The sequence below is a fragment of the Homo sapiens genome, chromosome 11, assembly GCF_000001405.40.
Source record: "Homo sapiens chromosome 11, GRCh38.p14 Primary Assembly".
NCBI classification, from domain to species: domain Eukaryota; kingdom Metazoa; phylum Chordata; class Mammalia; order Primates; family Hominidae; genus Homo; species Homo sapiens.
Genome location: NC_000011.10, coordinates 67019989 through 67046265, shown reverse-complemented (window position 1 = coordinate 67046265; position 26277 = coordinate 67019989). Strand labels below are relative to the sequence as shown.

The 26277-nt window shown below is 53.9% G+C and overlaps 1 protein-coding gene and 1 non-coding gene across 10 annotated transcripts in view, besides 7 other annotated features; both read right to left on the bottom strand.

Moving 5' to 3' along the window:
* SYT12 (synaptotagmin 12) overlaps positions 1-26277 on the bottom strand; it is a 44093-nt gene that overhangs the window by 4598 nt on the left and 13218 nt on the right. For 2 of the 9 annotated variants that reach the window (XM_011545346.4, XM_006718737.5), the window contains 7 exons: positions 24353-24397; positions 16088-16144; positions 11428-11621; positions 6063-6455; positions 2413-2628; positions 1553-1673; positions 389-522 (listed from right to left, as the gene is read on the bottom strand). In XM_011545346.4, the coding sequence (XP_011543648.1) occupies positions 389-522; positions 1553-1673; positions 2413-2628; positions 6063-6455; positions 11428-11621; positions 16088-16144; positions 24353-24397 (1160 nt within the window). Of the gene's footprint in view, positions 1-388; positions 523-1552; positions 1674-2412; positions 2629-6062; positions 6456-11427; positions 11622-15706; positions 15832-16087; positions 18750-22805; positions 23133-23340; positions 23474-23508; positions 23567-24352; positions 24398-24491; positions 24511-26277 lie in introns of those variants that run through there. The other 7 variants (XM_024448766.2, NM_001318773.2, XM_011545347.2 and 4 more) reach the window with 7 other exon arrangements.
* Positions 41-170: an enhancer, noted in NCBI's record as "active region_5065". NCBI's record gives its function as "activates an Ori minimal core promoter by ATAC-STARR-seq in GM12878 lymphoblastoid cells {active_cell/tissue: GM12878}" and the evidence as "EXISTENCE:reporter gene assay evidence [ECO:0000049][PMID:35858748]".
* MIR6860 (microRNA 6860) lies at positions 558-623 on the bottom strand. Its single transcript, NR_106920.1, has one exon. It is a non-coding gene; the product is annotated as a microRNA 6860 (primary transcript).
* Positions 13179-14018: an enhancer, noted in NCBI's record as "H3K4me1 hESC enhancer chr11:66799719-66800558 (GRCh37/hg19 assembly coordinates)". NCBI's record gives its function as "activates a minimal SCP1, AML or CMV promoter by ChIP-STARR-seq in naive H9 embryonic stem cells {active_cell/tissue: H9 hESC(naive)}" and the evidence as "EXISTENCE:reporter gene assay evidence [ECO:0000049][PMID:30033119]".
* Positions 18420-18489: an enhancer, noted in NCBI's record as "active region_5064". NCBI's record gives its function as "activates an Ori minimal core promoter by ATAC-STARR-seq in GM12878 lymphoblastoid cells {active_cell/tissue: GM12878}" and the evidence as "EXISTENCE:reporter gene assay evidence [ECO:0000049][PMID:35858748]".
* Positions 21700-22200: an enhancer, noted in NCBI's record as "H3K4me1 hESC enhancer chr11:66791537-66792037 (GRCh37/hg19 assembly coordinates)". NCBI's record gives its function as "activates a minimal SCP1, AML or CMV promoter by ChIP-STARR-seq in naive H9 embryonic stem cells {active_cell/tissue: H9 hESC(naive)}" and the evidence as "EXISTENCE:reporter gene assay evidence [ECO:0000049][PMID:30033119]".
* Positions 22201-22701: an enhancer, noted in NCBI's record as "H3K4me1 hESC enhancer chr11:66791036-66791536 (GRCh37/hg19 assembly coordinates)". NCBI's record gives its function as "activates a minimal SCP1, AML or CMV promoter by ChIP-STARR-seq in naive H9 embryonic stem cells {active_cell/tissue: H9 hESC(naive)}" and the evidence as "EXISTENCE:reporter gene assay evidence [ECO:0000049][PMID:30033119]".
* Positions 22373-22472: an enhancer, noted in NCBI's record as "active region_5063". NCBI's record gives its function as "activates an Ori minimal core promoter by ATAC-STARR-seq in GM12878 lymphoblastoid cells {active_cell/tissue: GM12878}" and the evidence as "EXISTENCE:reporter gene assay evidence [ECO:0000049][PMID:35858748]".
* Positions 23643-24842: an enhancer, noted in NCBI's record as "P300/CBP strongly-dependent group 1 enhancer chr11:66788895-66790094 (GRCh37/hg19 assembly coordinates)". NCBI's record gives its function as "activates an origin of replication core promoter dependent on BRD2, BRD4, P300/CBP, MED14 and CDK7 cofactors, with strong dependence on P300/CBP, by STARR-seq in HCT116 cells {active_cell/tissue: HCT116}" and the evidence as "EXISTENCE:reporter gene assay evidence [ECO:0000049][PMID:35650434]".

Here is a 26277-nt window from a genome sequence, read left to right as displayed (position 1 = left end):
GAAATGGAGCTTGGGAGATTCAGAGCAGGAACTCTGGGTGCCTGGCTCACCCCAGCTCCTCTCCAACCCTCTGCAGTTCCCTCCACCAGGAATGGTCCTCCCTCAGAGCTGGGTATCCCCTCCTGCAGGAATCCCCCCTCACCTGAGGACACTCTTAGTGGATTAGGGACTCTCCTGCCTGTCCCTTGTGAGCACCGAGAAAGCCATGCCTGTGTCCCCAGCACCCACCCTAGGGCTGGCCCCAGTGGCACTCAATAACTGCTAGAAAGTGATGGCTGGAGGCAAACCACTACCCCTGCAGGGGCCCTGAGAAGAGAAGGTGGAGAGATGCGGCAGCCCCAGAGCCCTGGGGTGACCTGGCCCCTTCCCATCCCCCAGCCCCCCTCACCTGGAGCACAATGGCTGGCACCGAGAAGATCATGGCTTCGTTGAACACCGGGTTGGGGTCATCCCTCTTCACGGCTGTCTTCTTTTTGCTCATCTTCCTCCCATCCTGCAGCAGGTACACCTTGACGAAGGGGTCTGTGGGCAGGCGGACAGGTGAGGGCCAGTGTCACACTCACTCACCACAGCCCTGCCCAGTTTGGCTCCACCCACCGACTCCAAACTCCCCAATGCTTAACTGTTGCTGTGACCTCCTGCAGCCCTGCCATTGGTCCTTTATTATTTTTCCCATTTCACAGATGAGAAAACTGAGGCTCACACAGCACGTCAGGTGAGGGCTGGGCTTTGTGCTCAGGCAGCTGCCTCACAGCCCACGCGCTCCCCTCCTAGGATGCTCTGGGGAACTCAGCAGCCCCACCGTGTTCCTTCTATAAATGGCCCGAGTGCAGACGTCAGCCCTGAGTCACCGGGCACCCGCACAGCAGAGCCTGACTCAACCGTGTGCGGCTCTGAAATAACAACTTGCCGTCTGCCCATCACCTATTGCCCACGGGGTGTCCTTGCCGCACCTGCCTGGAGCTGCCCCCCCCACCTACCCCCGCCCCAAGGCTTGCAACTCCCAATAGATCAGGCTCCCCCAGCCCCTGGTCTTCAGTTCTCTAGAATACAGCTGCCTCCACGGTCACTGCTTTGAGAGGGACTGGGGACTCCTGCAGACCTAAGGCATCGGGTCCTGCCTGGCACCCACCCCAACCCCGTGGCCCTGGTCCCTTTTTGGAGTCTGGGATACTGCCCTGTCTCTGGGAATGGAGTCTCCACCATGAATTCCAGTTCCAGGGAACAGATGCCCACCTTGGTTCCCTGCCCAGTGCCCCCAGCCCTGAGTGCGGCCTCCTGCCCTGAGACCCCCGCATCACTCTGACCCCCTTCACTCTGCCCTCACAGGGGCCCCTGCCACCCTCCAGGGATCTCATGTTTCCCCGGCTGGATTAATTGTCCCCATGCCACCCCCTATCCATCTGCATGACTTCTGGGCTCAGCAAAGCTGAGGGGGACCTTGGCACTGTGTCCCACACCTGCCGATGCCTCCGGGTGCCCACAGCACAGCAGCTGGGCCACAGCTTCCACTGAGCTACGTGGAGGAGCCGGGCTGCCGGCTGGGCCTTACCCGCTGTGGTCTTGTCGTTGGTCCAGATGAGGTTCTTGGCCTTAACCACGACCACGGTGAGGCGCTCGGCTGTGGGGAGGTAGCTGAGGGAGAGCAGGATCTCCCCCACAGCATCGGCGGCCTGGGGGACAGACAGGTGGCTCAGAGGGCTTCTCCCCACCCGACTTGAGGGGTCCAGGGAAAGCCTTGGTTGCCAGGGAAAGGCTGGGGCTTCCTTCTCCATAGAGAAGTGGCTGCACTGGGGGCCCCTTACCACAGGGCTCCAGGCAGGCAGGGACAGCCTGGAGAAAGGGACAGCCACCCACCCCCCGCCACTGCATGGAGCATGCCCCACTCCTCCCTTCCACCGGGAGGGTCCTGCCTGGGGCGGAGGGTCAGAGGCGGCCTGTCAAATGTAGCTATCAAATGTAGTTTCGTTCCCTCATTGCAGGCCAAGGAAAACACTGCGGTAGTAATACACAGCGATCAGAGTGGAATGGAATTAGATTCTTTGATTAAACAACAATGATGTTCTGTGAGCATTCCTACAATTATAAAACTAAAGTGCAGCTTGGTGTCTGTCTGAAATCATCCCCTCTAAGGCTAGAGGAATGTTTCTCTAGCAGAAGCTCAGTAGGGGTAGAACCTCTGAAGCTTTGGTGGCAAAGCAGCAGACGAGCTGTAAACAGTGGTCGGGATGTTTTTGAAATTTGCCTGCAGCAAGCAGTTTCCTCGGATGTGGCTCAGGTCTTCTTCTCTGCTCTCCTAATGATGATGGGGCTCAGGCTATTGCAGAGGATGATGAGGATGATGGAGTCCCTTCCTGGAAGTGTATGTGTGTGCACGCTCTTCCGAGGTGGACGAGCAGGCAAGTCACTTACCTTGTTCTGGTCCTGTAAATAGAGCCAGCCACTGAAGGGCTGCAGCGGGAGGTCAAGCACAGAAAGCTTCAGCTCCACCACCCCCGTGCTGACGTTGCGCTCATCCTCATCGATGCCAAATACAGAAAACCGCAGGCTCTTCTCCTCCAGGGCTGTGGGATCCAGGGGGATGGAGAACTTCTCATCAAAGAAGATGGAGTAGGCATTTCTCTGGATCTGCAGGAGAAAAGGCCATGGAGGGCGCTAGGGGCCTGAGAGGCCACAGCAGGGAGACAGCACTGGACAGGGAGTCCAGAGGCCCAGGCTAGAGTCCTGGCTCTGTTGTCTTGACACCCTCAATGCCAATCTTTCCTTTGGTGGCTCAGCCTTGAAGGTTTAAAAGCCTCCTGTCCTCTCCTCAGTGGCGGCCAATCTAGTGGCCTGGCGTTTTAAGCTCCCACAATCTGATCCCAACTAATTTCCGTCCTCAGTGCCCGTGGCACCCCAGAACCCTCAAGATGCCCTGGACGAGCTGGTCTCCATCTTTCTTGCATCTGTTCGAGTCTAGCCCTAGGCCAGGCAAGCAGTGGAGTGGGACAGTTGCCTGTGGAGTCACGAGCCACTGACGTCCCAGGTTCCTGCAGAGCCTGGCCCAGGACTGTTTGAACACCGTAGGCTGGATGGGTGGATGGAAGGGAGGACTAGGCGAGGTTGGGCCAACTCGGTTTCCAAGCCCAGTCCTGCCTGGTGGGCACCACTGACCTCCTCCCAGGAAGTTGTGGGCAGGCCCCCTGGGAAGGTGCATTGCGGGCTCTGTCTCTGGGGAATAAGGGGGATGCTTTAGTCACTGCCTGGTGATATTTAAAGAAAGGCGCTCTCATCCCTGGACCCTGCCTGAGGCTGGGGGGCTGCCTAGCCTGGGGGCAGCACCCCCTGGTGGGATTGCCCAGGCTGTTAAGCTGGGAAGCTTGCCTTCCCTGGAATAAATCCCCCAGCGCCACCGGCCACCATGACCACACTCTTCTGTCACTGCCTGGGTGTGGGAAGGCTCCTCGCACAGTGCTCACGTTCCCTACACAATCCCCTGCTCTTGAAGGGCTCCTTGCCCCCAAGTGATAAAGCCCACCTGGCCTCCTGACCTCCTGACCTCGGCATTCAGGCTCTTCATGATCTGGCTCTGCCTCTCCCTCCTTCGGCTAAATTAGCCTCTCAGCTGTCCCCTGCTCATGGGGGCCTGGGCTCCCCAACCAGCCATTCTCTGAGCGTGTGCTTTATGTGCACATGGGTGGAGGAGGATGGAACCCTGGGTTTGAGTCCTGGACCTCCTGCTTCCTTACTGGCGTTGTCTTGGGCAAAGCACTTTCCCGAGCCTCGGTTTCCTCATCTGTAAGATGCCCTAACAATCTGTCCTGTTGGCGTCAGGGGCTAATGAGAGAATCATGGATGCACTGGGCTCTGTGAACCAGGTTCTCAGCACACATCAGGCTGTGGCGGCTGCTGTCTGCCAATGTCTCTCCTCAAGGAATGCGTCCCCAAACCACAGGCAACATGGCTGGGCACGACAGGAGCTCTGCACGGTCCTGAGAGCCAACCTGCTAGGCACTGACCCAGGCTGGGCTAAGAACTTCACATACATTAACCCATCTCTTCCTCAATAACCATGATGCCCATTTGACAGATGGGGAAACGGAGTCATGGGGTACTAAACTGACTTAACCAAGATCATACTGCTAGGAAGAGGTGGAACAAGGATTTGAACCCAGGCAGTCAGGCTCCAGGGTCCTGCTCCTAATCGCCCACTATACTGCCTCTCAGAAGCTGGGCCACCCCAACTTGATGCCCTAAACACGCCCTCCTCGCACTCTGCTCACAGGCTATCCCCACCCTTCAGCCCAGATGTGGCTCTGTTGGCTTGGTTCTGTGAGTTACAGCGATGTGTGGAGGGTAGCCTAAGGGACTGGGCACCTTCCCTGCCCCTCACGCTTTATTCTCCACCCTTCCCCCCTCTGCTCTGGCCCTGAGAGTTGACCTCCATGGGCTGTGTCAACAGGTTCCCTTGGCCTTTGGCTTCTGGTTGGGTCAGCCAGTGGAGGTCACCAGAAGGAAACTGGAGGGGGAGGGAAGTCCCTCTCTGCAGTATTGTTGCGGGATGACCATGTCCCTTGGCCAAAGGGCAGAGCTTCCACCAAGGTAGCCCTCTCCACACAAGGTGGCCCTCTATCCTTTTGGGCCCAGTAACCTCACCTTCCCCTCACCCCTTCAGATCTAGAGTGGGACAGCCCCTCCTGTTACGCCCTTCCAGGGTACCATGCCATCCCTGAGGCTGCCCCACACCCCATCCGCACCACTCTAAATGGTCTTATTATTTTCATTTTTAAAATTTATTTATTTATTTATTATTTTTGAGACGGAGTCTCACTCTGTCGCCCAGGCTGGAGTGCAGTGGCATGATCTCGGCTCATTGCAACCTCCGCCTCCTGAGTTCATGCAATTCTCCTGCCTCAGCCACCTCAATAGCTGGGATTACAGGTGTGCACCACATGCCCTGCTAATTTTTGTATTTTTAGTAGAGACGGGGTTTCACCATATTGGCCAGGCTGGTCTCAAACATCTGACCTCAGGTGATCCACCTGCCTCAGCCTCCAAAGGGCTGGGATTACAGGTGTGAGCCACTGCACCTGGCCCTATTTTTATTTTTTGAGATAGGGTCTCATTCTGTCACCCAGGCTGGAGTGCAGTGGTGCAATCGTGGCTCATTGCAGCCTCAACCTCCTGGGCTCAAGTGATCCTCCCATCTCAGCCTCCCAAGTAGCTGGGACTATAAATTAGCTGGCACTACCACAGCCAGCTAATTTATTTTATTTTATTTTATTTTTTTTGGTAGAGAAGGAGTTTTGCCATGTTGCCTAGGCTGGCCTTGAACTCCTGGTTAGGCTCAAGCAATCCTCCCACCTTGGCCTCCCAAAGTGCTGGGATTACAGGCATGAATCACTGTACCTGGACAGTCCTGTTTTATTTTTATTTATTTATTTATTTTGAGACAGAGTCTCCCTCTGTCGCCCAGGCTGGAGTGCAGTGGCACGATCTCGGCTCACTGCAAGCTCTGCCTCCCAGGTTCACGCCATTCTCCTGCCTCAGCCTCCCGAGTAGCTGGGACTACAGGTGCCCGCCACCACGCCCGGCTAATTTTTTGTATTTTAGTAGAGATGGGGTTTCACCGTGTTAGGCAGGATGGTCTCGATCTCCTGACCTCATGATCTGCCCGCCTCGGCCTCCCAAAGTGCTGAGATTAGAGGCATGAGCCACCACAACCAGCCCCAGTCCTGTTATTAAGCCCTCCCCAAATTAGCCTTCTTAAGCATGTCATCCCTTTTCTGCCGGGACCCCATGTTGACACAGGGCAGATGTGGACAACGACAGTTGCCACATTCTGTATTCACCTGGTGGGACCGCTAAGAACTCCACACAATGGGAGCCTTCAGGTGGAGCCCCCCACCTCCCAGCTCTGTACAGAGCTCCCTCTACAGTCTGAAGCTTCAGCTCTGGGATCAGCATCCATACTTGCACTCTACTGCCTTTCTGGGATCCTGCCGGGCCCCACCGCCATGCCTGCCTGGGAGGCATCTAGTGAGCCCAGAGCACCCTTCTGCCCCGCCCTGAGCCCCACTTACCCGAGAAATGCCCACGATCTGCTCGTCCGGCAGCAGGCTGACGCGCATGAAGCAGGACTCGAAGCTGGCCTCCTCCCGCTCCAGGAGGTCCTTGCCCTGCATCACCGCCACGTTCAGCGTGTGGGAGGCAGTGTCGTACTCCATGCTCACCTCCACCTGGCCCAGTGTGAAGTCCTGCCCAAAGGTGTTGCTCACGGAGGAGATGGAGTTCAGGGAGTCGGCCGACTGGGACTTCCGGAGGGTCCCATAGGGGGCCAGGTCCAACTCCCGGCCCATCAGCTCCAGAGGCCCCAGTTCACTGATGCTCTCAAAGGTGTCCTCAATGCTGAGACTGCCTTTGCGGCTGGGTGGTCCCCGCGTGCTGGCCCGCTGGGCATTCCAGGCAGGCACTCTCTAGGGGTGAGAAAGAGGGACGTGGGAGCATCATGGGGGCCATAGGCAAGGTCACTGGGAGACGGCAAAGAGATGAGTAAGGCCTGTTCATTCTCGAATCTCCAAGTTCCCCTTTCACAGAAGCCCTGCATCCCTTAGCTAGGAAGGTCGCTGTTTAATATTATTTCATGTCACTTATTTATTTACTCATTTTTTTGAGATGGAGTTTTGCTCTTGTTGCCCAGGCTGGAGTGCAATGGCGTGATCTCGGCTCACTGCAACCTCTGCATCCAGGGTTCAAGTGATTCTCCTGCCTCAGCCTCCTGAGTAGCTGGGATTACAGGGGTGCGCCACCATGTCTGGCTAATTTTGTATTTTTAGTAGAGATGGGGTTTCTCCATGTTGGTCAGGCTAGTCTCGAACTCCCAATCTCAGGTGATCTGCCCACCTACCTCGGCCTCCCAAAGTGCTGGGATTACAGGCGTGAGCCACCGTGCCCAGCCTAGGGGTATATGAAACATTTGTTTTTTTTGAGAGAGTCTCACTCTGTCACCAGGCTGGAGTGCAGTGGCTCGATCTCCATTCACTGCAACCTCCCCCTCCCAGGTTCAAGCAATTCTCCTGCCTCAGCCTCCTGAGGACCCGGGATTACAGGTGCACACCACCACGCCCGGCTAATTTTGTATTTTTAGTAGAGACAGGGTTTCTCCATGTTGGCCAGGCTGGTCTGGAACTCCCGACCTCAGGTGATCTGCCTGCCTCGGCCTCCCAAAGTGCTGGGATTACAGGTGCGAGCCACCACTCCTGGCCAACTATTTATTTATTTATTTATTTATTTATTTTTTGAGACAGAGTCTCGCTGCATCGCCCAGCCTGGAGTGCAGTGGCATGATCTTGCCTCACTGCAACCTCTGCCTCCTGGGTTCAAGCAATTCTCCTGCCTCAGCCTCCCAAGTAGCTGGGACTACAGGCGCCTGCCACCACACCCAGCTAATTTTTGTATTTTTAGTAGAGACAGGGTTTCAGTATGTTGGCCAGGCTGGTCTTGAACTCCTGACCTTGTGATCTGCCTGCCTCAGCCTCCCAAAGTGCTGAGATTACAGGCGTGAGCCACCACGCCCAGCCCTTCAACTTTTTCTTAATATGTATATTTGTAGGGACAGAATTCCATACATCAAGTTGTCGATTGCAGTGATGTTTAGAAAAAGGAAAAGCAGCTAGCAATCTAAGTGTCCCAGAAGAAGAATGGGTAAGAATACCAGAAGCCAGCTACTCAAGAGATGATGGAGCAGCCACAAGGGAAGTTTACAACACAGGAAGCTTTCATGTTGGGTGACACTCACCCAAATATTAATTTTTTTTTCCCTTGGCCAGGCACGGTGGCTCATGCCTGTAAAACCAGCACTTTGGGAGGCTGAGGTGGCGGATCGCCTGAGGTCAGGAGTTCAAGACCAGCCTGGCCAACATGGTGAAACCGTCTCTACTAAAACTACAAAAATTAGCCGGGTGTGGCGGCATGCACCTATAATCTCAGCTACTCAGGAGGCTGAGGCAGGAGAACTGCTTGAATCCAGGAGGCGGAGGTTGCAGTGAGCTGAGATTGCGCCGCTGCACTCCAGACTGGGCGACAGGGTGAGACTCTGTCTCAAAAATAAATAAATAAATAAATAAATAAATAAATAAATAGTTTTATTTTCCCTAAATTGACCTTGGGATTTGAGAAAACAAGAACCTTTTATTCCATAAGCATCTTCCATGCCTTCATTACCATAATTTTTTTTTTTTTTTTGAGACAGGGTCTCACTTGCCCAGGGTGGAGTGCGATCACAGCTCTCTGCAGCCTCAACCTTCTGGGCCCAAGCGATCCTCCCCCCTCACTCTCCCAAGTGTCCAGGACCACAGGTGTGACCTACTACACCTGGCTTTTTTTTTTTCTTTTTTTTTTTTTCTGAGGGGGAGCCTCGCTCTGTCGCCCAGGCTGGAGTAGAGTGGTGCGATCTCTGCTCACTGCAAGCTCCACCTCCTGGGTTCAAGCGATTCTCCTGCTTCAGCCTTCTGAGTAGCTGGGATTACAGGCATGCACCATCACACCCAGCTAATTTTTTGTATTTTTAGTAGAGACGGCATTTCTCCATGTTGGTCAGGCTGGTCTCGAACTCCCAACCTCAGGTGATGCCCACCTCAGCTTCCCAAAGTGCTGAGATTACAGGCATGAGCACTGTGCCTACCCACACCTAGCTAATTTTATTTATTTATTTATTTATTTATTTATTTATTTATTTTGGTAGAGATGAGATCTTGCTTTGTTGCCCAGGCCAGTCTCCAACTCCTGGGCTCAAGCGATCCTTCTGCCTTGGCTACCCAAAGTGCTGGGATCACAGACATGAGCCACTGCACCTGGCTGCTTACCATAATTTTCATGGTTCCCCAATTTTGCATTGAGCAGATAATCATAATTTAATTTACTCTTCCCCACTGTTGGACATTTATGTTGCTTGTACTTTTTCAGAAATACAAATACTGCAGTACTGAATAGCCTTCTTAAAATCCTGGCTCAGAGGACACAGTCCCTTGAAGGTTTTTTGTTTTTGTTTTTGATGGAGTCTCACTCTGTTGCCCAGGCTAGAGTGCACTGCCACGATCTTGGCTCCTAGGTTCAAGCAATTCTTGTGTCTCAGCCTGCTGAGTAGCTGGAATTACAGGCGCCTGCCACCATGCTCAGCTAATTTTTTTGTTTTGTTTTGTTTTATTTTGTTTGAGACAGAGTTTTGCTCTTGTTGCCCAGGCTTGGAGTGCAATGGCGTGATCTCAGCTCACTGCAACCTCCACCTTCTGGGTTCAAGCAATTCTCCTGTCTCAGCTTCCCGAGTAGCTGGGATTACAGGCATGCGCCACCACACTTGGCTAATTTTGTATTTTTAGTAGAGACCAGGTTTCTCCATGTTGGGCAGGCTGGTCTCAAACTCACGACCTCAGGTGATCCACCAGTCTTAGCCTCTCAAAGTGCTGGGATTACAGGCATGAGCCACTGTGCCCGGTCAATTTTTGTATTTTTTTTAGTAGAGACAGGGTTTCACCATGTTGGCCAGGCTGGTCTTGAACTCCTGACCTCAAGAGATCTGCCCGCCTCGGCCTCCCAAAGTGCTGGGATTACGGGCGTGAGCCACCACACCAGGCCTGGAAAATTTTTTTCAAATTTACATTCCCCCAACAGCGTGTGAGATAGTCCCCCCAGACACCCTAAGTGAGTGAACATGAGGGACTCTAATCTGGTAATAGATTCTGGCTGTGCTCTCTGGAACTCTACATGACATTCGGAAAACTCTCTGCCATGTGTTAAATGATAAAACTTTCAGCAAGGTATAGTGAGAGCCCTAAGAATGTGTGTGCCCCCAATACAGCAGTTACACATCTGGACATCCATCCAAAGCACACTATCCCAAATGAAGACAAAGTTTTACCTACAGAACATCCACTGCATTATTTATCATGACATTTAGTCAATCATGGCACATGTACAAAAAAGAATCTCATACAGCCATTAAAATAATGTTTATGATGTGTGTTCAACAGTATATCAAAATGCTTCAGCTACAAGGGAGGTGAAAAGAGAAGGACCTGGCACGGTAGTGCATGCCTGTAATCCTAGCACTTTGGGAGGCCAAGGCGGGCAGATCTCTTAGCCCAGGAGTTCGAGGCCAGCCTGGCCAACATGGTGAAACCCCGTCTCTACAAAAAATAAAAAAAAAATTAGCTAGGCATGGTGGCTTGGGCCTGTAATCCCAGCTACTCAGGAGGCTGAGGTGGGAGGATCGCTTGAACCCAGGAGGTGTAGGTTGCAGTGAACTGAGATTGTGCCAGAGCACTCCAGCCTGGCTGACAGAGTGAGACCCTGTCTCAAAAGAAAGAAAAGAAAGGAAGGAAGGAAGGAGGGAGGGAGGGAGGGAGGGAAAGAAAGAAAGAAAGAAAGAAAGAAAGAAAGAAAGAAAGAAAGGAAGGAAGGAAGGAAGGAAGGAAGGAAGGAAGGAAGGAAGGAAGGAAAGAAAAGAAAAGAAAAGAAAAGAAAGAAAGGAAGGGCCGGGCGCGGTGGCTCACGTCTGTAATCCCAGTACTTTGGGAGGCCAAGGCGGGCGGATCACGAGGTCAGGAGATCGAGACCATCCTGGCTAACATGGTGAAACCCCGTCTCTACTAAAAATACAAAAAATTAGCTGGGCATGGTGGCGGGTGCCTGTAGTCCCAGCTACTCAGGAGGCTGAGGCAGGAGAATGGCGTGAACCCGGGAGGCGGAGCTTGCAGTGAGCCGAGATTGCCCCACTGCACTCCAGCCTGGGCAACAGAGCGAGACTCCGTCTCAAAAAAAAAAAAAAAAAGAAAAGAAAAAGAAAAAGAAAAAGAAAAAAAAGAAAGTAAGAAGAAAAATATATCAGGTTACTCTGGGCATTTGGCCTATGGGGTAGCCCTGCTCTGCAAGGAGCATTTTGAAAAAAAAAAAAAAAAGAAAGAAAGAAAACGTTAGCAGTTAAAAAGCAGGCCAGGTGTGGTGACTCACGCCAGCACTTTGGGAGGTCGAGGCAGGTGGATCACCTGAGGTCAGGAGTTCGACACCAGCCTGACCAACATGGTGAAACCCCGTATCTACTAAAAATATGAAATTGGCCAGGCATGGTGGTGCACGCTTATAATCCCAGCTACTTGGGAAGCTGAAGCAGGATAATCGCTTGAACCCAGGAGGCAGAGGTTGCAGTGAGCCCAGATCATGCCATTGCACTCCAGCCTGGGCAACAAGAGGGAAACTCTATCTCAAAAAAAAAAAAAAAAAAAAAAAAGTTGAAGATGTGAAAGGGGAAGAGGGAGGTCTACTCCCCTTTCAAAGGAGGACATTAACCAGGAGGAGGTGGTGACGGAGGGAGAGGGGCTGAAGACTGATCTGAGTGGATGGTAGGGGCATGGGGTTGCACTCGCTGTGCACCTGCAGGAGCAGAAGCCTCACCTTCTCCCTGGCCTCTGCGCAGCTCTCGCCGTACTTCTGCTGAAGGTACCTGTAGTCGTAATTGGGGAACGGAGAGGGGCTGGGGAAGCTCCCCGACGTCCAGAGCTTCCACAGGCTCACAGCTGCGATTCCCAGCAGGGCCAGGGCCCCTGCAGCATAGACACCCACCTCCCAGCCAGGGGGGCTCTTGATGACTGCAAGGCAAGGGCAGCCTCTCATTAGGGCTTCCTAGTGGATACAGACCCCCACCCGGGGAGCAGCACCGACTTCTACATTGAATGGATATTTATTGAATGCCTACTATGTGCTAGGTGCTGGAGATCCCATGTCGAACAAGACATACACTTTCCTGTGTTGCTTGGGACCAGAAGTGTTTTGGGTTTCAGATTTTTTCTGATTTGGGGATATTTACATTACACTTATAGTCTGAGCATTCCTAATCCAAAAATCTGAAATCCAAAATGCTCCAATAGACATTTCTTTCAGCATCATGTCGGCCCGCAAAATATTTCAGATTTTGGATTTGGATTTTTGGATTTAGGATGATCAGCCTGTGTACATAATATCCAGAAAAGGCAAATCTATGTAGACAGAATTGACACCAGTCTATACAGTAGATTAGTGACTGTCAGGGGCTGGAAAGTTGGGAGAAATAGGGTTTCTTTGGGGGATGATGAAAATATTCTAAAAATAGATTGTGTGGTTGGTTGCACAATATACTAAAAACCATTAAATTGTACACTTTAAGTGGGTAAATTGCTTGGTATGTGAATCTTTTCTCTCTGTGAATCTCTTACCAAAACAAACAACTCAGCCACAAGTGAGAGGTGGCTGCAGGCTGTGCAGGGCTTGGAGACAAATCCAGATGCTCAGAGGCTTTTGCTCTGCTGATGAGTCAATAACCTTCTCTCTCTGAGCCTTGCTGCCCCCGAAAACGGAAATTAACAACCTCCTCAACTGTGGCAGGCGAGTCCTCCCCAGCACCGCGCTTGGCACGCAGCAGGACCATACACGTTCCAAGGTTTTGCCTCCCTCTCCCAGGAAACCTGGCTCTGCTTCCCCAAAGGAAGCCAAGGAGACACTGGGATTCATTGTGCAGGTCACAGTGCTGGCAAATACAGTTCTCTAAACTGCTCTTAGTACTGCGTCTGTCTCAATTCAAGTGAGGAAACTGAGGCACAGAAAGGCTAAAGAACTTGCCCAAGGTCACAGAGCCCAGAAGGGGTGGTGCTGGGACCCCAACTCTAGCAGCCAGACCCCAAAGCAAGTGGGGTAACCACTGCCCCACCCGGCCTCGACCCCGCACAGTTCCCTGGAAGCAAGGTGGGGAGAGGTGCGAAGAGCACCTCAGGGCATGAGATTGATCACTGCACATCCATTGAGCACCCATCCTGGTGTGCCAGCAGCCTATGGGCATGGGTAGCCAGGGTTGAGTCAGCCCCAGGCCAAGTCCCTGTCCTTAAGTAGCTGGCAGTCTAGGGGGTGGGGTGGGGCAGGCAAATAAATAGACAGATCAGGGTACTGGGAATGGGAGCAGCCCAGGAAGGCCTCCTGGAAGAGGGACATGTAAGCTGAGATATGAGGAGGGGCAAGAAGTGTGCCAGGCCACGGCAACAGGAGCTGGAAGTCAAGAGCGGGAAGAATAGAGGGGTATAAAAAGCCCAGAGTGGGCAGAGTGGCCGGGGGAGGGAGGGAGGGGACCCGGGGCTAGAGGAGTTCCTCATCACTGCTGCCCTGAAGCCCGGCCACACAGGAATGGATCACACAGTGGGGCAGCCCCTCTAGCCTGCCCTGCTGTCTGCTGAGCTGCCTTTGGCCAGAGTCCACAGCACTGACTCACTGGCCTCCAGCCCTGACGCCCTCCCAGCACTGAGCACCCTGTAAGGCTCTACTTTCTTTTCTTTTCTTTCTTTTTCTTTTTTTTTTTTTTTTTGAGATGGAGTTTCACTCTTGTTGCCCAGGCTGGAGTGCAATGGCACGATTTCGGCTCACTGCAACCTCTGCCTCCCCGGTTCAAGCGATTCTCCTGCCTCAGCCTCCCGAGTAGCTGGAATTACAGGCGTCCACCACCATGCCCAGCTAATTTTTTGTATTTCTAGTAGAGATGGGGTTCCACCATATTGGCCAGGCTGGTCTCAAACTCCTGACCTCAGGTGATCCACTCGCCTTGGCCTCCCAAAGTGCTGGGATTACAGGCGTGAGCCACCGCCCCTGGCCAAGGCCCTACTTTCTAAAAGAGGAAAACTGAGACCAAGGAAGGGTAATGAGCACATCTGTTTCTCCACTCAAGGCCAGCGGTGAGAAACGGCAGAGCCGGGCACCGGTACCTTGGCTTCCAGGCAAGTCACCCAGCACCTCTGGGCTTCATACTCCGTTTGGAAAATGCGGATGACAAGAACATCCCCCATCCAGCGGTCCCACTCTGGTGAATTTATTCTAAAGGGAAAATCCCAACAGGTTTTGTGTCTGGGATGAGTCATCGAGGCTGTATTTATAACAGCAGAAATCTGGAGACAGCCTGAAGGTCCCACCGAGGGGGCCAGTGAGGGCTGGTGGCTCTGTCTTGGGAGGAAATGTCACTGGCCTTCGAGAATGACAATTGAGGTCATTAGGATGGCACTGTGGCAATGCAGAGACACATTTCTGGCATTGTTAAGAGAGGAAAAAAATGAATCCCCAACATGGTCTAATCACGCAATCGTGTGACGTGCGCAAAAGTCACGCAGCACATAGTCACGGGCTGGGCAGACCAGGGAAAAACAGAAGGAATGGGTAACGACGGTGGAAGGGCTGTGAAGAAACCCTCCTTCCTCCTGCCGCTGTTGACAGAATGTCACCTGTGGGCTACGTATGCCCATGACAAAGAGATCCATGGAGGCTCCCGGGCCCCGCCCTGCTAAGGCTTGGTGTATTCTGGGAGTCCTGGGAACAGGGTCACAGCAGGGCTGGGTAGTAGCCGGGGGTTGGCTAGAGGGCAGGACCAGAGGCCCAAGGTCTCTAAGCAGGCTGTGGGCACAGCCAGGTGGCAAAGCAGGTTCAGGCTCCCCTGTGCCTGAGGCTCTTTGGGAGCTGAAGGGTGGAGCCCATGCCCGGGGTGGCAGAAAAGGGGGCAGGGCTGGGGGCACAGAAGGAAAAGCCCCAGGAAGGTGACATGAAATGACAATTCGCATTCATTTATTGATTTTATGGAATACCAGTCTTGGGGTGATATTGGAAGTGGGGTCTAGGCGAAGACCAGAAACGAGTGGGATGAGGAGGAGGAGGAATAGCTCCCCTTATGAAGCACTTACTATTTATGATTTGCCAGGCCCTGTTCTAAGCACGTCACGTATATTAACCCATGGAGTCAAGGCAATCCTGTGAGGTTGGTTCTATTGTTTTCCCCATTTTACAGATGAGGAAGCTGAGGGACGGAGGAGAGATCTGCCTCCAGACAGACTGGGTCCAGATCTGCACCTATAACCCCACCACCAGGTGCCAGGACTCAGGCAGGCAGTGGCAGAGGCAGGGAAGGACTCCAGGACAGGGGAACAGCGTGTGCAAAGCGCTGCCACTGGAAGAGTGGCGTTTGCACCATGCTGGGCGCTGCACAACCATCAGCTCTCTAAATCTTCCCAACAGCCCTGAGGCAAGCCTCATCTTTTGCATTTTACAGATAAGTAAGTAGAAGTTCCGGTTTCACCACTTGCCCAAGGCCATACGGGTAGGGGGCAGGGTGGGGGCAGGGGGGCAAGACCTGTGAGCCTGAGGGTGAAAAGTGCGGCTCCCTGGCTCACTTTTGGGAAAAAGTGATGGGAAAGGTGATTCCCGGGCACACCCTTCAGATCAGCCCTGGGCTCCCCAGGGGCTGCGTTAGGGTAGGGGCTAGAGTGATGGGGAGCACGGGGCTGGGAGTCAGGAGACCTGAGTGCACATCCTGACCCCGTTACTCTCTAAGCCTCACTTCTCCCATCTGTGAATGAGGAGAGGAACAAAGGGAGAAAAGACGGCTGGTATGTTTCTTCTCTGACCCCATCCGCTGTCCATGGGGAGGGCTGCAGGAGTATGTCTGGAGTCTCGAGGCATCTCCCAGCCAGCTCCCATCTCCCTGCTGAGGCAAAGGGTGACAAGGTGGGAGCCATGGCCCTGGACTGGGTGGCCTCTTTTTTTTTCTGATGAGACGGAGTCTCACTCTGTTGCCCAGGCTGGAAAGCTGGAGTGCAGTGGTGTGATCTCAGCTCACTATAACCTCTGCCTCTGGACTGGGTGGTCTCTGAGTTTAACGCCCCATGAATCTAACCTTGACCTTCCTGGGCTTATTTTCCCTTGGCTACTTGACAGTCTCCACAGAAGGCCTCGGTGAGTGGATTCCGAGTCACAGGCTCATCCCCAGGGTGCAGCAGGATGAGGGTCTCCCCGGGGACCCTTTCAAGTGAAAGAGAGAAAGTCACTTTAACAAGAAGGAGCCACTTGAGTGGCAAGATGAGGAGACCTCAGACTGGGCCAAGCTTGATGTCCCCAGGGCGGGCTGTCTGACCTTGGGCAAGTCACTGACTGTCCTTGACAGTGAAGACATTAATGGCAAGGACTAATTATTCATGTCCCACAGACACCTCCCACCCAGGCCTGGTGTAAGGGTCTCGCAGGCGTGATCCAGGAGGGGTTTGCCCTGGGCACTCACCGCTCAGATGGTATTCTGCCACATCCACAGCCATGATGTCTGCTGCAGTGACTGTGACTGGAAGGGAAAAGAGAGTGAGAGGAGAGGGCTGCAGAGAGTCAGCGTCCCGCTCCTAGGTCCTGGCCTCCTGGCACCCACGTGCCTGTCATCCAGAGCTTACACTCAGCTATAAGGGGAGTGCCACCAAAGGGAGGCTTGGCATTTTAAGAAATGATGTTTAAAGCTCTTTTCAAGCATTCTAAGACTCTTCTCAGGATTGCCAGATAAAACACAGGATGCCCAGTGGCATGTGAATTTCAGATTTTGTTTTGTTTTGTTTTGTTTTTTCAGATGGAGTCTCTCTTTGTTGCCCAGGCTAGAGTGCAGTGGCGCGATCTCGGCTCACTGCAGCCTCTGCCCCTGGGTTCAAGTGATCTCCTGCCTCAGCCTCCCAAGTAGCTGGGATGACAGGCATGTGCCACCCCACCCGGCTAATTTTTGTATTTTTTGTAGAGATGCGGTTTCACCATGTTGGCCAGGCTGATATCGAACTCCTGGCCTCAGGTGATCCACCAGCCTTGGTCTCCCAAAGTGCTGAGATTACAGGTGTGAGCCACAGCGCCTGGCCAAATTTCAAATACGTTTTTAATATGTGTGTCCCAAATATTCCACAGGACATATTTACGCCAAAATCTTTTCCATTGTTCATCCAAAACATCAATGCTCCTGGGTGTCCTGTTTTTGTATTTGCCAAATCTGGCAACCCCAGCTCATTTCCATCCTAACAACATCAGGCTGACCAGCGGCGACGCAGTAGGTGACTCATTAGAGCAAGGCCCCCCTGGCTTGAGCCAGAGCCTTCCTTCAAATGCTTCCATTTTGATTGGGAAGGAAAGGCTGCGTGTCTGCAATATTCTATTATCAGTCCTTTCACTGCTTGGCATGGTTTCTTCCCCACCCCATCCTCCACCCCCAGCTTTTAGGAATGACTGAGGCTTAAGTTGTTCTAGAAAGGTCTGGGAGCTCGTACAACCCATTACCTGAACCTAGGTGACTGCTCATTGTTTTATTAGTGTGCTAAGAAGTAAATCTGGCTCACAGATGTGTTCTAAGTGGGTGTATGTGGGAGTCCTGGAAAAAGGAATTTGGGATGGGCTGCACTGATCTCAGGTCAAGGGCACCGAGGGCCAGGATAATGCCCACCCCAATTTCTGGATTCCCTTGTAGTTCAGAGAGGTGGTTACACATGGTAAGCCTGCAGGCCTGGTGCAGGGTGGTAGGGCAAGGGGAAGGGGAGGTAAGAACTGCAGAGTGATGGCCTGGCCCAAGGGCAGCTGCATTTTTGCCCCAGCAGGAATGCCAACCACCGTGGCTTGATCTTCTGGCACTTTAAAGAAAAGCCAGATACCTGAATTTTTTATGTGCCATTTCCTGAGTTTTAAAGGTAGCAACCAATTTGCAAAAAAATGCAAACACCATTCAGACGCAGTATAAAAAGTCCTTGGGGAGTGTGACCCACCAATTCCCAACCCCTCGGAGCATCCTGTAGGTTCCCTTTGGGACTGGGGTCGAATCAGAGGGTAAAGCTAAGGCCCTCCACATTTTCAGGAATTCCGGGGTTCTCCCCAGTCTGTGGCTTTGGAGTCAAGAAGCTTCGGTGCCATGCTCCAGTCAGGGTTATCCAGCACATTTGGGGTGCCATAAGTCCTAGTCTACCCCCTTAAGTCCTGGAGGTGCCCAGGAGCCTCTAGAAGCAGGTCAGATAAGGTGCACAGCCAGCTCCTGGCTTCCAGTTCTCCTGATGCTGCCCCCACTCCCACAAGGAGATGTGCGTTGTCATGGTGATGGAAGGGTGGTGCTAAGCCAGGAAGGGCTTCACCCATCCTGACTAGAGTGGAAGCTCATTCCTGGGCCTGGGCTGGAGATAATGATAGTAATAGAGAACCTTGTCGAGCCCTTCTTACACATCAAGCGCCATTCTAAGCACTTTGCATTTATCTGACCTCATTTAATTTGCCTAACAGCCCCATGAGGTAGGTACTATTATTATCTCTGGTTTGCGGGTGAGAGTCCCAGGGCGTAATTTGCCCCAGGCCACACAGCTAATAAACTGTTCAACCCAGGCCAACTGGCTCCATGCTCCTAACCACTGTGTCTCACTGCAAGTGGGCATATGGTTTCCAAAAAGTTTCCTAAGAATCTGCAGGTCAAATGGGTCACCATGTACCTGCCCAAGGTGGTCCTAGCTCCTGGCGGAAGCTGGTCTGGATACGCTGAAACACATGCTAATGTACACACACGCACCTCCCAGCCTGCTTCTGCCTTGCCGGGAATCAGATAAGCCATCGGCTTTTTCCTGCTTACCTGGCACAAGCTGACTTTGCAAGAGTGGGGCCAAGCTGGGACAGCCAATGCCCGCAGCACGCGAGCAAGGTATGCATGGCAAAGTACACCCCACAGCACAACAGGCGTGGTACGGGACAAAGCCTCAAGCTGCATCTGGCCTCTGGCTGTCGGGGGCCCCATCACCTCCATGGCTGGCCCAGCTCAGACCCCAGACTCCCACGCTGTCTGTTCTTTCCTCTCCCTTTAACACGACATCCTTTCCCAGGGAGCTGAGATTTCAGTGAGGGTGTGAATGACTGCTAGGCACACCCCAGACAGAAGTTCCTTCTTTTTTTTTTTTTTTTTTTTTTTTTTGAGACAGAGCCTCACTGTGTCACCCAGGCTTGAATGCAATGGCGCGATCTCAGCTCACTGCAACCTCTGCCTCCTGGGTTCAAGTGATTCTCCTGCCTCAGCCTCCCAAGTAGCTGGGATTACAGGCATGAGCCACCATGCCCAGCTAGTTTTTGTATTTTCAGTAGAGACGGGGTTTCATCATGTTGGCCAGGATGGTCTTGAACTCCTGACCTCAATGATCCTCCCATCTTGGCCTCCCAAAGTGCTAGGATTACAGGCGTGAGCCACCGCCCCTGGCCTCCAGACATATGTTCCAGCCTGGTGCCCTGTGAAGGCAGAGCTCATTTGCCTGAGTGGAGGGAGAAGAGAACTGGGAGAGAGGTCGAGGCTCCTAGAGGGTGTCATCCTGAGCACAGGGTTTGTAGTCAGCTGCACCCAGCTCTGACTCCCATACCTGCCCCTGGCTAGCTGCAGTGGCCTTGGGTAATTTTCTTAGTCTCTTAGAGCCTCAGTTCCCCACCTGTAAAGCAGATGTGAGGCTGCCAGGAGGGTGGAATGAGAAGGTACGTGTAGTCAGGCTTGGCACATATTGGTTGCTGTGGTTAGCAGCCTGGTGATGGCCCATACAGACCCCCTAACCCCTAGTCTGGGCAGTGTGGGCAGCACTGCCAGCCTACAGATGTGTTTATTTGTCTTACATTTAAGTGAGTTGCCAACATTTTAAAATTGAAAAATTTAGCTGGGTGCAGTGGGTCATGCCTGTAGTCCCAGCTACTGGGGAGGCTGGTGTGGGAGGATCTCTTGAGCCCAGGAGTTCAAAACCAGTCTGGACAACATAGTGAGACTGTGCCTCAAAAAAAAAGTGTGTGTGTGTGCGGGGAGAGTTTCCCATTAAAAATTGATTTAAAAAGGATTTCCAGCTTCCCTTTGAAAATTAGAAGATCTGGCCGGGCGCGGTGGCTCAGGCCTGTAATCCCAGCACTTTGGGAGGCCGAGGCAGGCGGATCACCTGAGTTCGGGAGTTTGAGACCAGCCTGACCCACACGGAGAAACCCCATCTCTGCTAAAAATACAAAATTAGCCGGGCTTGGTGGCACATGCCTGTAATCCCAGCTACTTGGGAAGGCTGAGGCAGAAGAATCGCTTGAACCTAGGAGGTGGAGGTTGCAGTGAGCCAAGATCGCACCACTGCACTCCAGCCTGGGCAACAAGAGCAAAACTCCATCTCAAAAAAAAAGAAAGAAAAGAAAAAAAGAAAGTTAGAAGATATGGGGACAATGGGTTTGCATCCCCCGACTCCAACAGGAGTTGGAGCTAAGTCGGCATTGCCCCTTCCCTGGCTGCTCCCATCCTTCCATTCACTGCTAGAACCTGTTGAGCCCTGGAAGCATCCCTGCTCATAAGCCTGGTAAAGTGGGCTTTGAATGAGCTACTTTTTTTTTTTAATTAATTTATTTTTTTGAGACGGAGTTTCGCTCTTTCACCCAGGCTGGAATGAAGTGGTGTGATCTCACCACGCCCAGCAAAGCTGTGGGAGATTAAGAGAGGTTAAGTGACTTGCCCAAAGCCACACAGCCAGCGGTGGTAGAGCTGGGCCTGGCAGTCATTCCTGTAGCCCAGTCCAGCCCCTCTTCCATTAGCAGTGACAACCCTCATGCCGTCTTCCCCATCACCCGTAAGACCCATGGGGCAAATCCTGTTACTACCCCCTCCTCCACGGAGGAGGAGAGGGAGGCTCAGAGAAGGGCAGTGAATTGGCCCGAGGTCACCCAACCAGTGAGGAGGAAGCTCAGACCAAGCCGCAAGTGCTGCTGTGCAGCCAGTGCCCTTCTCAAGGGCTTTGCTCACTATCCCCGAGACCCCTTGACTCTGTCTCACCTGGGACCACCTCAGTGGGCTCCCGCTGGCAGCCTGGAGGTCTGCCAGGCAGAAGGACTGTGTCTTTGGCTAGAAGAGGATAGCAATGAGGTACAGTGGGACCAGGGCAGCCTGTGACCAGAGCATCCCCGGTGTCCAGACACACAGCAAAGAGCATAACATGGGGGACCAGAGTGGCTCCAGACCCTCACTGAGCTCCCAGACTGCACATCCCTACCTCTGCAGCACCCCTCCCCATCTGACCAATTCGTTCAGTCCCAAATCCCCAGACCCTAAACTGCACAGAGCTTACTCATTGAAAACAGCTCTAGGTTCAAATTCCAGCTCGATCATACCTACCTAGCAATATCTCCTTACTGCTACATGCATGTGGACATAACATGTGCTAAGTGCTTAGCACTGTGCCTGGTTGTAGTAGGTACACAATGTGGACATGATGATTCAGTGGATTAATGGATCCCCCTTTTATAGATGAGGAAGCTGGGGCCCCAGGTCACCTAGCATACAAGTAGCAACACTGGGATTGGTGCCAGGGTGCAATGGATCTGGGCCTGGGCTCTTGGTCACCATGCTGACTCCTGAACAGGCAGGCCTTTTGGGGTGGGGAGTTGGAAGAGCCCCCCACTTCCCCCAGCTTTGCTGGAATCAGACCATGGCAGAGGCCCCTCCTGGGCTTGTCAGAGAATTGGCTTTCCATGAATGTTGTGCCTCGGCGGGGGAGAGGGGCCCTCTGTCCCTGCCTTCTGCTCCACCCCACCTCCTTGCCCAGTGTCCTCACATCATTCTCTGGCTAGCAAGGCAATGGGAAGGGTCGGGAGTTGGGCCCAGGAGAGCCTCATCCTTCAACCTGTGAGCCTCTTCAGGATCTTTAGGTTGAAACCTTTTCAAGTACCCCTCCTCCGCTTTCTGAGATAACCACATCCTGCTGCCATCCCCCAAACAGCCCACAGAAACCGCAGGACAGACTGGCTGGGAGGTGCTGGCTGGCATTTATTGGGCACCTACTGTGTGACTTGCCCTGTGTTATCTCAGCACCGCAGCCCTCTGAGGGGGCTGCTACCCTGCTCCTTGTACTGGAGAGGAAACTGAGGTGCAGTGTGGGCAGCGCTGCCAGCCTACAGATGTGTTTTATTTGTCAGTCAGTCACCAGAGCTGACAAGTGGCAGAGTCCGGGTTTGAAACCCAGGCTGGGAGCCCCCACTCTGCAGAGCTGCTTAGGAAAGCTTTCAGACTTCAGAGTAGGGAGGCTGGGGGCTTGGGGACTTGTCCTAACCCTTCTTCACACTGGCTGTGGTAACTTCGGTGGGTCTCCTGCCCTCTCTGAGCCTCAATTTCCCCATTTCTAATAGGAAGCACTATTGCTGCTGCTCTCTAAAACTGTCATCCCCTGACGGGGAGAAGGAGCTGACATTCCATGGTGCAGCTTTCCCAGGCTTTTGGGAATGGAGGAGGGTGCACACAGTCTCTCTGCAGCCCCTGGAAGAGAGCTCCCAGGATGGCCAGCTCAGGGCCTTCCACCCACAGGCCAGGCTCCCGGCCCCCCACCTCCCTCCCCCAACTTCAGCCCAAATCTACAGCCTTGAGGCCCTGAGTCTGGGCAAGCTTCCTCCCCTGCCCCGCCATACCCCTCTCCTAAGCTCTGGAAAGCCCCCCACTCAGGCTGGTGCCACCGGCGGCTGAGGGTCATATCTGGCTCTTCACACGGCCAGGGCCTCCTCGGGCTGGGGTGCAACGTTCCCCTCCAGATTGGGACGGTTCCTGCAGACCCAGCGCTCCTGCCTCGGGAACCTCCAGGGTGTATGGGGACCGGAGTGTCGGGAGGGGGTGCGAAGCCAGAGCAGGGACAGTGAGGACAGTCAGGGCGCTGAATGCGAAAGTGAGGGGCGTGTGTGCAGCGTGGGCGCGGGGAGGCGTGTAAATGGCCGGGTGAGCCGCGTGTGTGCACATGCGGGGCGTGCGATGCGATGCGCACTGCGCGGAGTGGCCGGGCCGGGTAAGGGCGCCCAGCGTGCGCGGTGCCCGGCATTCGTTCGTGTGCAAGCGCGGCGCGGAGGTGCAGGAGCGCGGAGTGCGCGGGGCTCTGGGGTCCCGGGCCCAGGGCCCGAGGAGGGGGCTGCGTGCGTCCGCGATCAGGGTGCGATCCCGGCCGCGCACGGGGGTCGGCGGGGTGCGTACTCACCCGGGCTCCGCGGAGGGGCCGCCGCTCCGGCTGGGCTCCAGCTGCCGGCCCGCCTCCCGCAGCGCGCACGCACCTGCGCCTAGCCCGGCCGCCGGCGGCAACGCCACCCCTGCAGTGTCGCCGGGCTCCCGCCTCCGAGGAGCGCGGCGCGGGCCGGGGGCTCGGCCGGGCCGGGGCGGCGGACCGGAGCTGCGCCGCAGTCCGGGCACGCTCCCAGGAGCCCGCCGCGCGCTCCCTCGCGCTCGCCCGCTTGCCCGCCCGCTCCCTCTTGAATTTAAAGTGACAAGCTCGAGCGCTGTCTCTGCTCCTGGGGTCCGAGCCGGAGATCCCCAAGCGCGTCCGGGATCCAGGGACGCCCTGAGGCCAAGCCCAACCCCTCGCTCCCACGCCTGGGGACAGGGGTGGGTGGGGACGTGCCCACAGGCCTCTGAGAGGCAGGCCAAGCACTGGACTCAGAGCCAGCCGGCCTGGGTTCTAGCCCCAGCCTCCGCGCCCTGGGTTATCCTGTTCTCTTTCTAGGCCTCAGTTTCTTTACCTTAAAAACGGACCCGATACTGCGCACCTCCGGGAGCCAAGGAAAACAGCGACAGGAGGCGCAGCGGAAAGTTTCCCCTTTTCTGAATGGATAATTACTCCCTCCCACCACGATTGAGCTGTAGGTCAGCTCTGTGCTGGTGCCTTACAACATCATCTCAGTCCTCACCGTGGCCTAATCTGGTCGTGGTGACTCCATTTTTTACATGAAGAAACAGGCTCAGAGAGGTGACCAAGGTCACAGAGCCAAAGGTCAGAGCCAGAATTGAACCCAGGTCTGTGTGACTTCAAACTCCATACCTTTAACCACTAAGGGGTCGTGCTTTCTCTCCCAAAGGAATGAATGAATCATTCAGGAGATATTTATGACGCCCCCGCAGGGGCTGGGCACAGTGCCAGGTGTGGGCGATCTTCCATCTTCCGGGAACAGGGGACAGGTCCCTCCCTGCCCGCGCAGTCTGGCAGTGAGGCACGGCTTGCACTGGGAGGGGCTGGGTGCGGGGGAAGGTGCCACATGTTGTGGGCACAGTAACCAGGGGAGCAGGCTGGGTGGACACCTGGGGAGACCTCTCCAACGGTCTGGGGTGGGGGAGGAAGAGGGGCGAGGATCCCAGATGGGGAGCAAGTGTGCAAGGGTGGCAGTGCTTCCTGGCTCATCTACACTCTGGGCCTTTAGAGCTGAGGGCAGCCTGTGGGCACTGACCTCTCAGTGGAGGCTGGGTCTGTGCTGGCTTGGTGCAGTGTGGGCATCCTTGGTCTAGAAGACAGGATGCTGGGGAGCCCTAGAAAGAGAGTTGCATCTGGCTAACACGGTGAAACCCCGTCTCTACTAAAAATACAAAAAAATTAGCCAGGTGTGGTGGCGGGCGCCTGTAGTCCCAGCTACTCGGGAGGCTGAGGCAAGAGAATGGCGTGAACCCAGGAGGCGGAGCTTGCAGTGAGATCGCGGCGACTCCGTCTCAAAAAAAAAAAAAGAAAAGAAAAAGAAAAAAAGAAAGAGAGCTGCATCTTACCTTCACCCACAGGGGGCGCTTTTGTCTTCATTTCATTTCCTGGACCTGGAACAGAACAAAGAGAAAGGGCATTATCATGGGGCGGGGGGCCTGGGTAATGGGCCCTGAGCTTTCACTGCCATTTCCCATTTAACTCAACCTTCACAGCCAGCTGCAGCTTTGGTACGATTGAGTCCATTTGAGTCCATTTTCTTCGCAGGACACCCAGGCCTGGGGAATGAATGGCCGAGTTTCTGGTTTGGAAGGGAGTTGGGAGTCAGACACATCATCAGGGCATAAAAGGGGCCAGACTCTAATAGGGTATTCTACCCAAGCAACAAAAGACAAAGTTGAGGCCAGGCACAGTGGCTCAAGCCTGTAATCCCAGCACTTTAGGAGGCTGAGGTAGGGCGGATCACTTGAGGCCAGGAGTTCGAGACCAGCCTGGCCAACATGGTGAAACCCCGTCTCCACTAAAAATGCCTGTAGTCCCAGCTACTCAGGAGGCTGAGGGAAAAGAATTGCTTGAACCTGGGAGCATAGGCTGCAGTGAGCCGAGATTGGCCTGGGCAGCAGAGCAAGACTCCATCTCAAACAAACAAAAAAAAAAAGCAAAGTTGAGGCTGGTCCAGTTCTGGTGTCACACTGGGGAGCTGATGCAGGGGCGGGAGTGAGCTTGAAATGAGAGATCTTGTCAATTTCATGTTGAACACCCTTCAATGATCAGAAAAGCGTACACGGGTGCACCAAAAGACAAGGATAGAATGTTGACAGTAGCCCCAAACAGGAGACCACAAATGCCCATTATGAATCAAATGCACAGATGCATTGTGGTGTAGTGACACAATGGAAGACTGTGCCACTAAGAAGAGAAGCAAAACTACAACCACTAATGAAAGGCGAGTGAATCCACCTTTCAGGCTCACGCCTGTAATCCTAGCACTTTGGGAGGCCGAGGCAGGTAGATTGCCTGAGCTCAGGAGTTCGAGACCAGCCTGGGTAACAAGGTGAAATGCCGTCTCTACTAAAAAATACAAAATTAGCTGGGCGTGGTGGTATGCACCTATAATCCCAGCTACTCGGGAGGCTGAGGCAGGAGAATCGCTTGAACCCAGGAGGTGGAGGTTGCAGTGAGCTGAGATCACGCCACTGCACTCCAGCCTGGGCGACAGAGACTCCGTCTAAAAAAAAATGGTGGGTGAATCTCACAAACGTACTGCTGAGCAACAGAAGCTGGACACAGAGAACGCTGCTGATGGATGCATTTATAGGAGGTTCAAAGACAAGCAAAACTACTCTGTGCATGGGACTCTGGTCCCCATGGGGGTGGTGACTAGAGGGGCCTACGGGAGGATGCTGGGGTGCTGGTCACATTCTGGTTTTGATCTCAGTGCCCATCTCCTGGGTGTGTTCACTTTGTGAAAATTCATGGCATTGTACACTGATGATTTGTACACTTTTGTGCATGTGTGATATGCTTCTGTACAATTTACAAAAACAAACACATCTCATGTGGCTGCATGCTGCACTGGAAATGGAAGCCAAACTCCTTTCTGGGGCCTACAGACCCTGCTGGCCTCTCTGAACTTTCATGCCACCATCCCTGTCACCTGCTGAGCTCCTGCCTCCTGGGCCTTCTGGCCTTCCTGACGCCTGACAAGCCATTCTCCGCCTCAGGGACTCTCCCTTGCTGGTCCCTTTGCTTGGAGTGTTTTCCCTGCTCTCACCAACAGCTTCCTCCGTCTTCTGTGCATCACATCCTACAGAAGTCACCTCCTCCGAGCAAAGCCCCTACTCATTCTTCCTTGACCTCTGGGACCTTTGGGACCAGTTCCTGAAGAGCAGTGCACCTCAGGGGAGGCCCCACCCTGAGGTTGGCCTGAAGGATGCTCCATCTGAGCATCACAGAGATGCTGTGCGTGGAGTCAGTGACACTTAAAGGTGAA